Here is a 16,022-nt window from a genome sequence, read left to right as displayed (position 1 = left end):
GAGGTTAAGTTGTTATATGAAGTTGAATAGGTAATTGTACATATTTTAATAAGAATTCTGTAACCATGTCCATAAAACTTAATAGGCGGTTGTAATCGTGTGTAAGTTGTAAAGGAGGCATTTCTCTCCTTGGGTATCAAATTTTGATGCCGTGGTTTTGTTTTGCGTATGCTGATATAGACATTTAAGTGGTACTTAATATACCTTTATAATAAGGTAAATCAACTTTTTTTCCAAAATGAAGATACCTTAATGTGTTTGATTACAAAAGTAATACACATACAGGAAACTTAAACATTATGTAAAAATAGAAAGTAAAGACACTAGAAAGGGTGCTGTCCAGAAAAGCTCCACGTTACAGCTGTTTTGCACTAGTGAACGGGATGCGTTGGAGGCTGTGGCCACTGCCCTGGCCGGCTTGTCTGCGGCTCTCACTCAGGTGCCAGGGAGTTTTTCTCACGGCTGTGCATGTGATGATTCATCACCCTTAAAGAATTCCCGGCCGGGCATGGTGGGTCGTGCCTGGAATCCCAGCACTTTGGGAGGCCAAGATGGGTGGATCACTTGTCAGGAGTTCAAGACCAGCCTGGCCAATATGGTGAAACCCCATCTCTAACTAAAAATACAAAAATTAGCTGGGTGTGGTGGTACGTGCCTGTAATCCCAGCTACTTGGGAGGCCGAGGTGGGAGAATCGCTTGAACCTGGGAGGTCGAGGTTGCAGTGAGCCGAGACCGCACCACTGCACTCCAGCCTGGGCGACAGTGAGACTCTGTCTCAAAAAAAAAATAATAATAATTAGGCCAAGCATGCTGATGTGCTCCTGTAGTCCCAGCACTTTGGGAGGCTGAGGCCAGAGGCCAGAGGACCCCTTGAAGCCAGGAGTTCCAGGCTGTAGTGAGCCGTGGTTCTGCTACTGCTCTCCAGCCTGGGTGACAGAGCAAGACTCTGTCCACCCCCCACCCCCAACAAAAAGAATTTCACTATATAGATGTTTCTTGATTTTTCAAACTGGTCTGTTAGTTTGTGTTCAGTTTGTCACCTTTGTGAGAAAAAAAACACTCATAAGTTAGTGTGTACTTCCTACTTAATTTCTCCTGGGTCATCGTGAAGCACTCCCTGCCCTCCATGAGAACAGTATGTCACCCGCTCTCTTCCCTGTGCCAAGCCCATAAAGGGCTGTTGGCAAATATGTCGGACAAATAGACTCGCCTAAGAGGGCCTTTCTCTCCAAGCCCTCGCCAGCACAGGCTGTGTCACTTTCTTAGGTGGCACCTACCGTCTGTTGCACACTTGCCGCAGATGATTTGGCACAGGATGTCGCTTCAGAAAACCTTGTAGGAAGCTGTGAGGTCGTTACCGTCCCCATTTCACAGACAGGAAAGTGCAGGCCTTAGATGCACTGCCTGATACCCTGTGGCCCCCGCGTTCCTAGACAGATACACTGCCTGGTACACTGTACCCCCCCACCCCCGCTATCGTTTGCAGCTGGGGTTGAACCCTGCATTCATAGACAGGTTCCCCCTTGAGTGAGCCCCCCATCTGCTTAACTGAGGGCTTGTCCTGGTTATAAATGTCTGGGTGGGGGTGGGCACTGCTGGCTGCAGCTGTCAGGACTGGGAATGCTGAACCTGCACTGAGGGGAGTAGGCCCCAGAGATGCTCCCAAGACCCTGGAGACACAGGCCAGGTAGACACCTGTGTGTGTGTGTATATATATGTGTGTGTGTGTATATATATATATGTGTGTGTGTGTATATATATGTACATATATATATACACACACACACACATACATATAAAAGAGCCGGGCATTGTTTGTGTGTGTGTGTGTGTATATATGTATATATGTGTGTGTGTGTGTGTATATATATAGTGTGTATATATAGTGTGTATATAGTGTATATAGTGTGTGTATATATATATTGTGTGTATATATATCGTGTGGATATATATTGTGTGGATATATATATAGTGTATATATATTGTGGACATATGTATAGTGTGTATATATATTGTGGACATATATAGTGTATATATATTTTGGACATATATAGTGTATATATATTGTGGATATATATATAGTGTGTATATATATTGTGGATATATATATAGCGGGTATATGTAGTGGATATATATAGTATATATATATTGTGGATATACACACACACACAATAGCTGGGCATTGTAGTGCATGCTTGTAGTCCCAGTTACTCAGGAGGCTGAGGTAGAAGGATAACCTGAGCCCAGGGAGATTGAGGCTGCAGTGAGCCGTGATCAGTCGCTCCATTGCCCTCCAGCCTGGGCGACAGAGACCCTGTCTCCAAAAAAAAAAAAAAAAAATTGGCTGCAGCTCCAATTTGAGAAGCAAATTCTTGTGAGAGAAGGGTTTTTAAAGAAGAAACCCCATTCTCTCCACCTGAACTTAGGGTGGCCATCATCTCACTTGGCAATCCCTGCCTGGTCAGTAATCACATGAAACTGAATGAGAGTAGACAGGGTGTCTGGAAAAAGTGAATGCTAAAGCAGTACCTGTCACTGCCACTAGGATCCTGACTGAACCGGAATGGCCTCGGGGAGCAGCCTTTCAGGCTCCAGCAGTGGAAGGCGCTGCTGTGTCAGCGGTTACCAGACTGGCAGGACCCAGGACTGCTTTACACTCCTAAAAAGCAGGGAAGACCCCAAAGAGCTTTTGTTATATCTATTGATAGTCACCATGTTTGACATTTAAAAATGAGTCATTTAAATGCTGAAGTGCCTTCTATTTAAAATTGGAAACCAGCCGGGCACGGTGGCTCATGCCTGTAATCCTAGCACTTTGGGAGGCCAAGGTGGGCGGATCACCTGAGGTCAGGAGTTCAAGACCAGCCTGGCCAACATGGTGAAACCCTTTCTCTACTAAAGACACAAAAAAAATAACTCGGCATGGTGGCACACGCCTGTAATCCCAGCTACTCGGGAGGCTGAGGCAGGAGAATCCCTTGAACCCAGGAGGCGGAGGTTGCAGTGAGCTGAGATCGTGCCACTCCACTCCAGCCTAAGTGAGAGCGAGACTCCATCTCAAATAAATAAAGTAAAATTGTAAACCATTATATATTAACATAAGTAAACCATTTAGTGGAACCTGTTTTCAATGACGAAAACAATGAGAAAGATGGTTTTGTTTTCACAAATCTGTTTGGCTTAACTGACAGCTTCTGGATTCTCCTTCCGAATTCAAACTTAGTGTCTCCGTTCAGCTTCTGAAATGCTCTAGCATATACTCAGAGTGGCTGTGGAAACAGCATGGAATGTTGGTGTTGTGCAGACTGCTTTGATCCGGGGGCCTCCCAAAAGGACCCCTGGACCACGCTTTGAGAACCACTTCTCTAAGAGTTGTAAAATAGCTCTAAACACTTGGGGAAATTGATTACTTTTAGGAAGATAAGCTGTGTCTTTGAACAATTTTTAGTGGCTCAACCATGTGCTTGCCCCTTGGGGCAAGTGTGGAATCAATCTGATGCGCTGTCACCGGTAAAGCTGTTCCAGTACACACCTCTCCCTCAAAGTGCCCTACACAGCCCCTTGCTGAATCCTTTGCAGCAGTGAAAATCGGGGGTTGGGGGGAGGCAAGAGTAGGCTGTGCTTGGGGCCATGGAATTATGCAGGTCTCTAAGGGTGTGGACCGAGGAGAACATAAAGGAACAGTGATTTAAACCTGTAATAAACAGATGCCCTTGAGGGGAAGCAGCCCCCACAGTACCCTGCTGGGATGACCTCCCGCAGCGCACCCCACTCACATGGTACCCGGGGAGCTCACACTGCCACACTTGCGGCATGAGGTGGATTTCTTCATGGGGATAAGAACCTGTGCATTGTGGTCCTCACCAGGGCCCAAGTGGTAATCTTTTATTAAGAGCAACAGGAATCCTGGTATGTAGAATTGGGACCGTATCTTAAGTGTTTGAAACCATACTTTCTTTTTTACTGAGACAAGAGGAGTCCATCAAAGGTAGTGGTTTAGGAGACTTTATGTCCAGCCATTAAATAGAGAACAATAAACCTCACTTCTCCTTCACCTCGATAAATGATTTTATGTGACTGTTTCTGGTTCCTGGCATTCATTTGGAGAGTTGAAATTTCCCACCTGAGTTGCCCACCAAGGTCACCAGCCTGTGTTTTGCACTAGGAAGTAGATAGAGGGAAATGGCAGGATTGTTGCAAGCTCACATGGGGAGCTTGGCGGCCCGGCTGTAGCCGGGGGCTGGCCAAAGCATTAGTCCTCAGCAGGTTTTTCAGTAACAAGTTTTGCTTTTTGTCTCCGCGTATCTATAAAAACACAAATACCCAAGAAATGTAAAACAACAATAGGTTGTTTCTGGATTTTTCTCTACATTTTCTTTGTGAGAAACATACTGTGTTGTGGCACCCTTGCTGCTTTTTTTTTTTCTTCTTTGAGAGGGAGTTTTGCTCTTGTTGCCCAGGCTGGAGTACAGTGGCACGATCTCAGCTCACTGCAACCTCCGCTTCCCGGGTTTAAGTGATTCTCCTGCCTCAGCCTCCCAAGTAGCTGGGACTACAGGCACCTGCCACCAAGCCCTGCTAATTTTTGTGTTTTTAGTAGAGATGGGGATTTCACCATGTTGGCCAGGCTGGTCTCAAACTCCTGACCTCAGGTGATCCACCTGCCTCAGCCTCCCGAAGTGCAGGCATGAGCCACCGCACCCGGCCCAGAATAATTTTTGTAATGACGGTATTATTTGGTAAGCAGCAAAACTTTGAATTTGCCGTCTGAAGGATTTAAATGTAATCTATGCAATTGAGTCAGATTCTGCATAGATACTAAAGTAAATGAAAGTTGGGCTTCTTCAGTTCCTTGTGGGCCCAAATCTCTTTCCTGTTTGGTGAGTGCAGCACAGTGTTTCCTGCCGCAAGCTGGTGGAGCTTTGAGTGGGCCATCATGGTACATGAACGGCTGCTGCTGGTGGCTGGAGAACACGTCGCATTTGGGGATGTCATCTGAAGTTTCTAGGCATATTCTCCTAGTGACTGTCGCATTAATGAAAACTGAGCTATCAAGAGTCTTTCATTGGGTAATCTTTCCTTCATTTGTGGTAGTTTAAAGATCTTTTACCTAGTGTCTTCTCAGTTGCTCCTCATCTGCATAATAAACAGATTGATGAGCCAGGAGACCCTTAATAGGCAAAATATAAATAAATGTAAACTTTGGCCTACCCTGTCAGAATTAGCGAAAATAATGAAGTTTAGAATAGTGAGGTTTTATTGTAGCATTATAATTTCTGACTGGCGGGTTAAAATTGTTTTGAATATTGTTTCAGGGGAATGTGAGGTTTGAAGAAACAGAATGTTTGCCACTAGGTGAGGTAAACTATGCATTTTTGTTTTATCTTTTTGCTTAGAAGTCAGAGCTCTTTTCCTGGAGGTGCGATGTTATGAAAATAGAAACTTAATTATGGTTGTATGTCATATTTTAAAGTGTCTTGGAGATTAATTACTCAGAAACTAGTCTCAAGTTTTTGGAACTGAAAATCTTTAGGTGGGAGCTGGGCACTGTGGCTCACGCCAGTGGTGTCCCAGCTACTCAGGTTGAGGCAGAAGGATCGTTTGAACCTATGAGGTAGAGGCTGCAGTGAGCCCTGATCATGCAGCTGTACCACAACCTGGAAGTGGGCACGCTTGAGTTAATGACTTCAAGCAGATTTTAGAGTAGTAAAAGTTGAGCATACAGATTTGCAGTGGTTGCAAACCCATGCATTGTAATAGTTGCAGTTAGGCTTTTTAAAGTAACAGAGCTGACCTTTTGGGAAGATATTTTTATTTGGTTTTTAAGAAATTTCACTTTTGGCTGCTTACTGTTTTGGTGAGTTGGGGAATCTGAGGGAAGATTAACAGGTAGTTACAGAACCCTTGTGGAAGGAAATGTTTAAAGTCTCTTCTGATGTCTGAAGCATAGGTATGTATTACTGCTTTGCACATATCCAGTGTACTCCTAAACTGGTAGAAATGGCATGTTGCCACAGTTCTTTGTGTTTCATGGACTCCTGAGGGGGAAGTCCTTGAAGCCCTTTCTGGGGCTAAGAGGTAAAGATGACTTCTGCATAATAATAGTCTAATAGTACAGGCCTTTTCTGGTGAGTTTGACATTTGCATCGGTGGCACAGGGCAGATTGGAGCCCTCTTCAGCACCGTGCATGGGCACCGAATGTTTAGAATATGCCAATTTTCCCAAATAATGTCCCTGATGATGCAGTAAATATTAATTTTTTTCGGAACCCGCAAACATACATCTTTTTTACTTTCGCTGTGATTAAATGTCAAGTTATATATAAAGCTTCTGCTGCATCCCCACGTGGTACTGTCCACGCACAGCCCTAGGGGATTGAGCTGGGAGCCGAGTGGTCTCGGAAACGCTGTCTGTCCCTGACAGAACAACAGACGGAGGACAGTTTTCAGACTCAGCATGTGGCAGGCGTTTTGTCCAAAACGAGTGATGTCTCAAAGAAAAAACGAACAGTATTTGTTGCTAAGGATAAAATTTGAGCTTTGGGGTGAAAATTGGAATTTTAGAAAACTTGTATCTGCCATTGTAAACCTGATGGCTTTCTAGTAATTAAAGTCTTCTTGGAGATTGGACCCGACATTATCGGCCAGGTGAGGTGACTCACACTTGTAATCCCAGCACTTTGGAAGGCGGAGGTGGGTAGATCACTTGATCCCAGGAGTTTGAGACCAGCTTGGGCAACATAGTAAGACCCTGTCTCTACAAAAAAAAATGCAAAAATTACCTGGGCATGGTGGCATGCACCTGTAGTCCCAGCTACTGGGGAGGGTGAGGTGGGAAGACCGCTTTGAGCCTGGCGGTGGTGTGGGTGGGGGAGGTGCTGAGGCTGCAGTGATCCTTGATTGCACCACTGCACTCCATCCTGGGCAACAGGAAAAAAAATGTTTGTTTTATGCTATCCGATGAGATGTGTGGACATTGAGAATCTGTCTGTTACTTGAACCCGTGTCATCCAGGTGAACAGCATGCACATGGGTCCAGAGTGCAAGGACGTGTTCAGAGTGAACACAGCAGTCAGTTTTCATGAAAGAAAGGGAGAAGTTCCTTGACAAAGGCTGCAAATTCTGTTTCAGCTAACTTTTATGAAACTGCTCCTTGGCGAGAGTTGGTGTAGTATCAGTGAACATCCAGTTATGTGAAGATGGTTACAATACTCCATTCTAAAGACCTATCTGTGTGAGGCAAGATTTTGATGACATGTTTTAGCTGAAACACTCTATGGGAACAGATTGAGGGCAGAAGTAGACATGAACATGGAGCTGTCTTCGGTTATGCCAGAAATTTGCAAAAATGTACAACAGGGCCACTCTTCCTGTTCATTTTTGTTTGTTTTAGAAATAACTTTCATTTAAAGATACTATTAATGTATTAATAGGTTTATTTTTAATACATACTTAGAATTTTGAAAATAGCAATACATTCCACATAAACAAAAGCTCTTTGGTGTTCTCAACTTGTAAAAGTGTCTTGAGACAAAAGGTTTGAGAGCCGCCATTCAAGCATTTGGAAGTCAGTGTGTGTCCTCTGCTTGAATCGCCGCTCATCAGCTGCTTCTAGTCAATAGAAAATGAAGCAGTTTTCAGCTGGGGAAAAAAATGTGCTTAGAAATGTGGAAATATTAAATTTGGTACATTCTGTTTTAACCTGTAGTTTGTTCACTTCCCAGCTTCAAGGATACCCACATTTTTCTTTCTGGGGAAAAGTTGTTACTGATACAATATGGTTGCAGTTTTATGAACACATTCCCCCTGTGATGGGCTGTGTAGTGTGTAGAATTACACACTAATTATACACACAAAAAGTTGTGTTAGAACAGGTTTTTTTGCTTGTGCCTTGATATACATATGTTTTTATTTTACAAGCTGACTGAAATGTTATAGTAAATTTTCTCTGTTGAAGACATTATGAAATCAGTTTTGTAAATATAAAGTGATCTGATCTTTTCCGAAGGTATATCCTTCATTGAATTCTACTTAACAGAAATAACTACATTTTTCTGATTACTCAGAACTCAAATCTAGTAGCGTGTTTATTCGCAGATTAACATAAATTGAATTTTTAAAAATCAGTTTTCGTTCCCGAGAACTTCTTAATTTCTTTGCTTTTATAAATGTTCAGTGTTGGCTGGGCATGGTGGCTCGTTCATGTACTCCCCAAAACTCTGGAGGCTGAGGCAGGAGGATTGCTTGAGGCCAGCAGTTCAAGACCAGCCTGGATAACATAGCAAAACCCTGTCTCTAAAAGAATTTTTTTCAAAAATTAGCTGGGCATAGTGGCACGCATCTGTAGTCCCAGTTGCTCATGAGGCTAAGCCAGGAGGATCACTTGAGCCCCGGAGTTTGAGACTGTAGTGAGCCATGATTGGGCCACTGCACTCCAGCCTGGGCAACAAAGCAAGATGCCAACTCTTTAAAAAGTAAAGTAAAATAAATTAAATGCTCAGTGTTGCAAAATATAAAAGTTTATTTCCAGTGTTTTCTGAGCAGTCGTTTCTGAATTCTTGAAGTAATTGTTTTGAGGATGATAGTTTTACCACATTGAAGAGATGGTGACTATGACGATGCCGTTTGGCTTATCAGAGGGAATGCCTGTCTTATTTTTATTTTTTGTAGAGACGGGGTGTCTACATGGTGACACGTTGCCTGGGCTGGTGTTGAACTCCTGGGCTCAAGCAGTCCTCCCAAGCAGCTGGGATCACAGATGCGAAACACTATGCCCAGTTGTCACTGTCCCTTTAAAAGGAGGGGAGTTGGAATGTTTGTCCCTTTGTTCTGAGGTTGCCAGGGAGACCACAGAGGGAAGGCAGTTGGTCTTGAGGCTGAGGAAGAGGTGAGAGCTGGGGCTCAGTTTGGAAGTGTCGGCTTTGGGGCAAGGACCTAGCTAGAAACTCGGCACCTGGAACCTTTGAGTGTTGTGATGTGACTGGTTGAGAGAGGATACAAGAGAATTGTTTCTTAAACACACGTGGTGAACTGTATCGTGTTGATTTTAGTACGTCACAAACATTAGTATTCTAAAATTTTTCTTGTTTTTAATTAAAATAATTCAGATACATTATTAAGAATTTTCAATTATTACATTCTTATATAATTTCGATGTTCAGCCTTTTCACTTTTTGTTCTTGTTCCTCTGTTTTGTGGTGGATTTTATTGAGTGGGGTCCATCTCGGACATAGGCTCCAAATGGAAAAGAAGCTGATGCTTGGCGACTCCTCTCTGGCCCTGGTCTGGCTGGGCCTCTGCCTGCCTCCCTGGGGCAAGCCTGGGACTCCACTCCTTCCTGCGCTGCCCCGGCCCCTTTCTCTTGGGGGTTGGTAGCATCTGCTGTCCTGGGTAGAGGTCCTTAAGGACACTGCTTGCGTGCTGGTTTTCAACCCCCAAGCTGTCTTTGTGGGTCACACAGTATCACTCAAATAATAGGTTACTTGAGAAGTTCGGTACTCCCTTTTAATTGTTGTCGATACGTAGTTTACTTAAGATATGTAAAATATTTTCTTATTTTCTTTTAGGAGCTTACTCCACGGGAACAGCCTCTAGATAATCTGAGTTGTTGAAAATACGAAGCCTGTTACTCGTGAACAGTGGCTGACAACAGTGTTGTTGTGAGCCTGGCTGTCTGCTTGGACCCAGAGGTTTCGTCTGCCAGGGTTTTTGGTTGTATTTAGGATTTCAGGGAAAAGTGTCCAAGCTTTCAGTGTTGGAGCAGGTAAGGTATCAACACTGTTAGTAGCAACAAAATTTTAACTTAATAAGTCTGTATTTGCTATTTATAAAGTGGCATTTGTAAAGAAACTGATAGTAGAATGTAGTATTCGTATTCATTTGAAATACATTCAGCCATTTGTATCAGCAGTCTCTATAGCAGCAGATTCTGCATCTGTGGATTCAACCAGCTGCAGATTGGAAATATTTGGGGGACAAACAATAAATAATAATCTGACAATAAAAAATAATAAAAATGTTATAAAACAGTGTAGTACAGCAACTGTTTCTATGATGTAATCTAGAGATGATCTAAATATTTGAGAGGTTTTGCATAGGTCATGTGCAAATAGCCTGTTCTCTCTTTAATGAGAACCCAGTTTTATAAACTAGAGCTCTTCCTGTAGAAAGCTACCAGCATGGATGCAGCAGCCCTTTTCAGCTGGGTTGGAGCTTCATAGGCCCCCAGAGGCAGAGGCGACTGCAACTTTGTGCCCTTCTGGGCAAAGGCTAGTGCGAGCCCCTCAGACTACATCTTTACTAGAAACTCCAAGTGTTGCATGAAAACGAGAGCTTGACCCTCTTTTGAGATGACAGTCATATTTCTTGCAAATATTTTGGCTTGCACAAGCAGAAAACTTCTTCTAAATGTAAAATTTCCAATGAGAACGAATAAACCATTTTAACTGATGTGGTTTAATAATTGCTCTACCATATATATTTGTAAGCAGCATTCTCTGCTTTGCCCTTAATCTTTGAGGTCAGCATTGCCTCCTGGATCAGAGCGGTTCCTTGTGACTTGCCTGGGGTCACCTGGCTGGTGAAGGAAGCCCCCCTTTCTGTTTACCACCATCTCTAGTGCCCCCCTCACACAGCAGCCTCCAGAGTTTGCACCCTGACTTGGAGTCGCTGCTGGTGCCCTGATTGAGTTGAGCTGTGTCCTTTAACAATGGGGTCACTTCAGGTGAGCATAGAAGTGATGTGTCCCTTATCTCCAAGGCTTCCGTGGAGTGCCCTGGGGGGTGTGGGTCATGTTTACAGAGCGTGGAGGCCACGGCCAGGCAGCATCTTTAGCTGGACAGGAAAATGAGAAGTGACAGCATTTAGAGGGAAGCAAAAAGAACAACACAGGTTACAGGTTGCAAGTAATTTTCCATTTTGTATTTTCGTTCTTTTTCTTTTTTTTGAGACTGAGTCTTGCTCGCCCAGGCTGGAGTGCAGTGGTGCGATCTCGGCTTACTGCAACCTCCACCTCCTGGATTCAAGCAATTCTCCTGCCTCAGCCTCCCAAGTATCTGGGATTACAGGCGCCTGCCACCATGCCCAGCTAATTTTTGTATTTTTAATAGAGATGGGGTTTCACCATGTTGGCCAGGCTGGTCTCGAACTCCTAACCTCAAGTGGTCTGCCTGCCTCGGCCTCCCGAAGTGCTGGGATTATGGGCTTGAGCCACCAGGCCCGGCCCCATTTTGTATATTTTTTAAGGCTTTCATTTTATGCCAGTCCTTCCCCCAGGATGGAACATGGCATAAAATCAGAGTCATCATTAGCATTGAAATGTAATTAAAGCTTGGACAGCTTGGAAAAGAATTCTCAAAGTATCTACTGTCTTTTTCAGATTTTTGTCATTTCAACAAGAGTAAAAGTTTCATAAATAAGATTCTTTAGTAATGTATTAGAATGAAAGTGAAAAATAATACAGAAAAAAAAATATACTGGCCTGGCACAGTGGCTAACTCCAGCCTGGGGACAGAGCAAGACTCCGTCTCAAAAAAAAAAAAAAAGAAATATACCTTAAAGTGATCGCCTTGACCATGTTTTCTAAGTGTCCCAGTTGTCTTGCTGCTAACAATATCTCCAAAGCTCAGTAGACTAAAACAAGGTTTATTTCATACCACACAATCTGTTGGGTCAGGAGTTAGGCAGTTCTCTCACATTGTGCCCGTGAGGGTCATTCACTTGGCAGCAGGGCTGGTATGGAGGGTCCCAGATAGTGATAGCATCCTTCCTGGCCCCAGCCCCTGGTTGGGGAGCTGAAAGTCGGGACTCAGCTTCTTCATATCCTCTTTTCAGCATGGTGGTGGCCAGCCCATACTTGCAAAAGTCCAGAACAGACTTGGGTCCCTTTGCAGGCCACACCCAAACTGGCACAGCGTCTTGTTCACTGTGCTTGTGGTCAGAGCAGCCCATCTGCCTGCGGAGGTGCTGGGGAGCTCGTGCCACCTCCGAGCTGCTCGCGTCCTTGCTCACGTCCTTACTCACATCCTTACCCTGCTATACTGTCCAATATTTCCTATTTGTCCCTACTGTCTGGCTTGTGAAGCCTTGTCCTGAGCAGTTAAATGATGAAATTGTACATTTGATTTGTTAGCTGTATTTTTGTCTAAACGTTAGTTGTTTAACTATATTAAAATTATCTTTACAAATCATCTTGAATCATCTCACATAGCACACATTAGGAAACACTGGTCAGAAGGACTTGCTTTATGTAGAGCTCCACTGTTTGTAGGGAGGTGGCCCCTGCTGCGCGTGTTTGGCGGCAATGTCACCTTTTGTTCTGTGGTCAGTTGGTCACTATGTGCTTACACTTTACCGCTAGGTATGGACGACAAAGGCGACCCGAGCAATGAGGAGGCACCTAAGGCCATCAAACCCACCAGCAAAGAGTTCAGGAAAACATGGGGTTTTCGAAGGACCACTATCGCCAAGCGAGAGGGCGCAGGGGACGCGGAGGCTGACCCACTGGAGCCGCCACCCCCACAGCAGCAGCTGGGCCTGTCCCTGCGGCGCAGTGGGAGGCAGCCCAAGCGCACTGAGCGCGTGGAGCAGTTCCTGACCATTGCGCGGCGCCGCGGCAGGAGGAGCATGCCTGTCTCCCTGGAGGATTCTGGTGAGCCCACGTCCTGCCCCGCCACAGACGCCGAGACAGCCTCCGAGGGCAGCGTGGAAAGCGCTTCTGAGACCAGAAGCGGCCCCCAGTCTGCTTCCACAGCTGTGAAGGAACGACCAGCCTCTTCTGAAAAGGTGAAAGGAGGGGATGACCACGATGACACCTCCGATAGTGACAGCGATGGCCTGACCTTGAAAGAGCTTCAGAATCGCCTTCGCAGGAAGCGGGAACAGGAGCCCACTGAGAGGCCCCTGAAAGGGATCCAGAGTCGCCTGCGGAAGAAGCGCCGGGAGGAGGGTCCCGCCGAGACTGTGGGCTCCGAGGCCAGTGACACTGTGGAGGGCGTCCTGCCCAGTAAGCAGGAGCCCGAGAACGATCAGGGGGTTGTGTCCCAGGCTGGGAAAGATGACAGAGAGAGTAAGTTGGAGGGAAAGGCGGCTCAGGACATCAAAGATGAGGAGCCTGGAGACTTGGGCCGACCGAAGCCTGAATGTGAGGGTTACGACCCCAACGCCCTGTATTGCATTTGCCGCCAGCCTCACAACAACAGGTGGGTCATGTGTGGGCACCCACAGAAATCCCAGGGTTGCAAACAGAATTTTCCATTTGTTTTCATTTTAAAGGGTTACAAAGCTGGGCTGGATGAGCGATTTGTTGGAAAAGATGAACAAGTTGTCAAAAAAGAAACACATAAGAGTGGCTAAGGACTTCCTAGAGCCACCTCTCCACTCTGGTAGCCACTGGCCACACATGGCTGTTTCCAGTCAAGTGAGGAGGTGAATAGCGCCCCACCCCAGTCACGTGAGCCACGTGCAGCCAGTGGCTCTGTGTAGACGGCATGGAGGAGAATGTGTCCGTCACTCCGGGGTCTGTCTGAGACTGCTCCTCTAGACTGCCCCTTGGGAGACATAGCAGAGGGGCATGTGCAGACCGCAAGTGTCCTAGTGCAAACATTGGGGCAGCTCAAAAGATCTCTGCTAGGACTGGGTGTCAGACGGTGATAGGCAGCCTGTTGGCTTGGCGCTGGGATAAAGGCATTGTCGCAGTTTTGGGGGGAGACTTGCTGAGGTATCTGTGGTGGAATGCCTTAGAGTTTGCTCCTAAAATGCGCTACTCTTAAAAAACGGTGAAGTAAATTTGGTTGAATGTTAAAATCAAAGGAAAGGCATGAGGACGTTCTTAATCTCTACTTTTCTGTATATTTGCATTTTTTCATGAAGTTAAAACCAATTGTCTTATTAATGTGTTGAAAAGTGCTTGTCACTCACGTCCCATTGCTAATACCGTTATTTTATAATTTCAGGTTTATGATTTGCTGTGACCGCTGTGAAGAATGGTTTCATGGCGATTGTGTGGGCATTTCTGAGGCTCGAGGGAGGCTTTTGGAAAGGAATGGGGAAGACTATATCTGCCCAAACTGCACCATTCTGCAAGTGCAGGATGAGACTCATTCAGAAACGGCAGATCAGCAGGAAGCTAAATGGAGACCTGGAGATGCTGATGGCACCGATTGTACAAGTATAGGAACAATAGAGCAGAAGTCTAGCGAAGACCAAGGGATAAAGGGTAGAATTGAGAAAGCTGCAAATCCAAGTGGCAAGAAGAAACTCAAGATCTTCCAGCCTGTAAGTGTTTGTCCGCTGAGACGAGCATTCAGCAGTCGGCCTCACTGGTTTCAGTCTCGCTCTAGATAGAAATTCCTCCCAGGACGGGTGCTGCACCCATGTGGGGCGGTGCCTCTCCCGGGTTCCTGCCTCACTCCACCTGGGTGAGGCCTTTCTATTTTTATTCTTACCCTGTCTACCTCCTCTACTATTAATGACTTAATTGTTGAAATCAGCCCATCTTTGAGGATTTGGGTGTTGCTTACATGCTTTGTATGCATTAGCAGAAAGGAATTGTTTCTGAACGATGGGAGTGGCGGTGCTCCTGTGTCACCTGCTGTCTCCAGCTGCCTCGTGGTTCTGGTGCTGGCTCCTCGGGGTGCTTGTGTTGAGAGTGGTTTCTCTGTCTTGCAGCTGTGTTGACACTTAATTCTCTCCCCCTGATGTTTATGACATTTCCCACATGCTGTCAGCTTCTGCTGCTGTCTTGTGTTTGCAGTCTCCATTCCAGTCCCCACAGGGCAGGTGTGACTTGGCGTGTTTTCACTCTGGTCCCTCCAGGGTCCCGGGCCTGTCCCCACCCAGCTGCCTGTCCTCTGGCAGGTATTGGAAATTGCTGTGTCTAGAAGCATCTCTGCCTTCACACTCTTGCACTGCATTAGCTGCAAGGTGAGGATGTCCGAAGGCTGGGCCGTGCACCTGGGAGCGTGCCCTTGGAGGCAGGAGGGGCTGAAGGCTCATGCTGCGCTGCTATCAGAGGCCACATCTGGGCATTCAGAGATGAATGGAGATGGGAATTCATGAGAAAAGTCATTGGCTTTATGTCTTTATTTTTTAAATATATTGATTCTGTTTTTTGTGCAGTTGAGGCTTCGCTCTGTTGCCCAGGCTGGAGTTCGGTGGCACAGTCCCAGCTCACTGCAGCCTCGATCTCCTGGGCTTGAGTGATCCTCCCACCTTAGCCTCCCAAGTAGCTGGGACTACAAGCACACACCACCACGCCCAACATCTTTTTTTAATTGTCATTGTGCTTGACAATACCCTGCACAAACCTAAATTGTATTCTCAATAAAACTTAGATTCTGTGGAGGAAAACTGATTATGTTAAATATTTAATTTGAGAAATAAGGTTTCGCTTAAGTATGTGTGAGGGACATGTTCGTGTGTGTTGAGGCCTGATCATCGAGACAGACTTTGTAAACAGCAGTGGTCAAGCTGTTTGTGGTGCGTGAGTTTCCTCCTGCTGCACGATGAGTTACTGCAGTCCTGGCTTGAAGGAGCTCACATTTATGCCTCCATTTCCATGGGAAGCCTGGACCTGCTGCTCAGGTCTCACAGGACTGCAGTCACGGTGCAGCGGGGGCTGTGGTCTCCAGAGGCTTGGCAGGGGATTCCCTTCCAGAAGCCCTCACGCTGTTTTTTACTGTATAAGTGTGTCTGGCCGGGTGCTGTGGCTCACACCTGTCATCCCAGCACTTTGAGAAGTCAAGATGGGAGGATCACTTGAGGCCAAGAGTTCGAGACCAGCCTGGGCAACGTAGTGAGACCCCCATCTCTACAAAAAAATAAATAATGAGCTGGGCGTGGTGGTATGTGCCTGTAGTCCCAGCTACTGGGGAGGCTGGGGTGGGAGGATCACTTGAGCCCAGGACATCAAGGCTGCAGTGAGCTATGATTGTGCCACTGCTCTCCGGCCTGGGCAACAGAGCGAGACCCTGTCTCAAACAAAAAAAAAAGTATGTTTCATGCAATTTGGGGGGCATACTTA

At 45.8% G+C, this 16,022-nt stretch overlaps 1 protein-coding gene across 6 annotated transcripts in view, besides 1 other annotated feature; it reads left to right on the top strand.

The window, feature by feature from the left end:
• Window positions 1-16,022, top strand: part of DIDO1 (death inducer-obliterator 1) — a 60,162-nt gene that overhangs the window by 13,931 nt on the left and 30,209 nt on the right. For all 6 annotated transcript variants that reach the window (NM_033081.3, NM_001193369.2, NM_080797.4 and 3 more), the window contains exons 2-4: window positions 9,568-9,764; window positions 12,360-13,200; window positions 13,954-14,275. In NM_033081.3, the coding sequence (NP_149072.2) occupies window positions 12,362-13,200; window positions 13,954-14,275 (1,161 nt within the window). In that variant the 5' untranslated portion in view covers window positions 9,568-9,764; window positions 12,360-12,361. The remainder of the gene's footprint in view (window positions 1-9,567; window positions 9,765-12,359; window positions 13,201-13,953; window positions 14,276-16,022) is intronic.
• Window positions 986-1,497: an enhancer, noted in NCBI's record as "H3K4me1 hESC enhancer chr20:61553829-61554340 (GRCh37/hg19 assembly coordinates)". NCBI's record gives its function as "activates a minimal SCP1, AML or CMV promoter by ChIP-STARR-seq in naive H9 embryonic stem cells {active_cell/tissue: H9 hESC(naive)}" and the evidence as "EXISTENCE:reporter gene assay evidence [ECO:0000049][PMID:30033119]".

Source organism: Homo sapiens, chromosome 20, assembly GCF_000001405.40.
Source record: "Homo sapiens chromosome 20, GRCh38.p14 Primary Assembly".
NCBI lineage: Eukaryota > Metazoa > Chordata > Mammalia > Primates > Hominidae > Homo > Homo sapiens.
The sequence above is the reverse complement of the archived record's forward strand: the minus strand, read 5'-3'. Positions and strand labels throughout refer to the sequence as shown.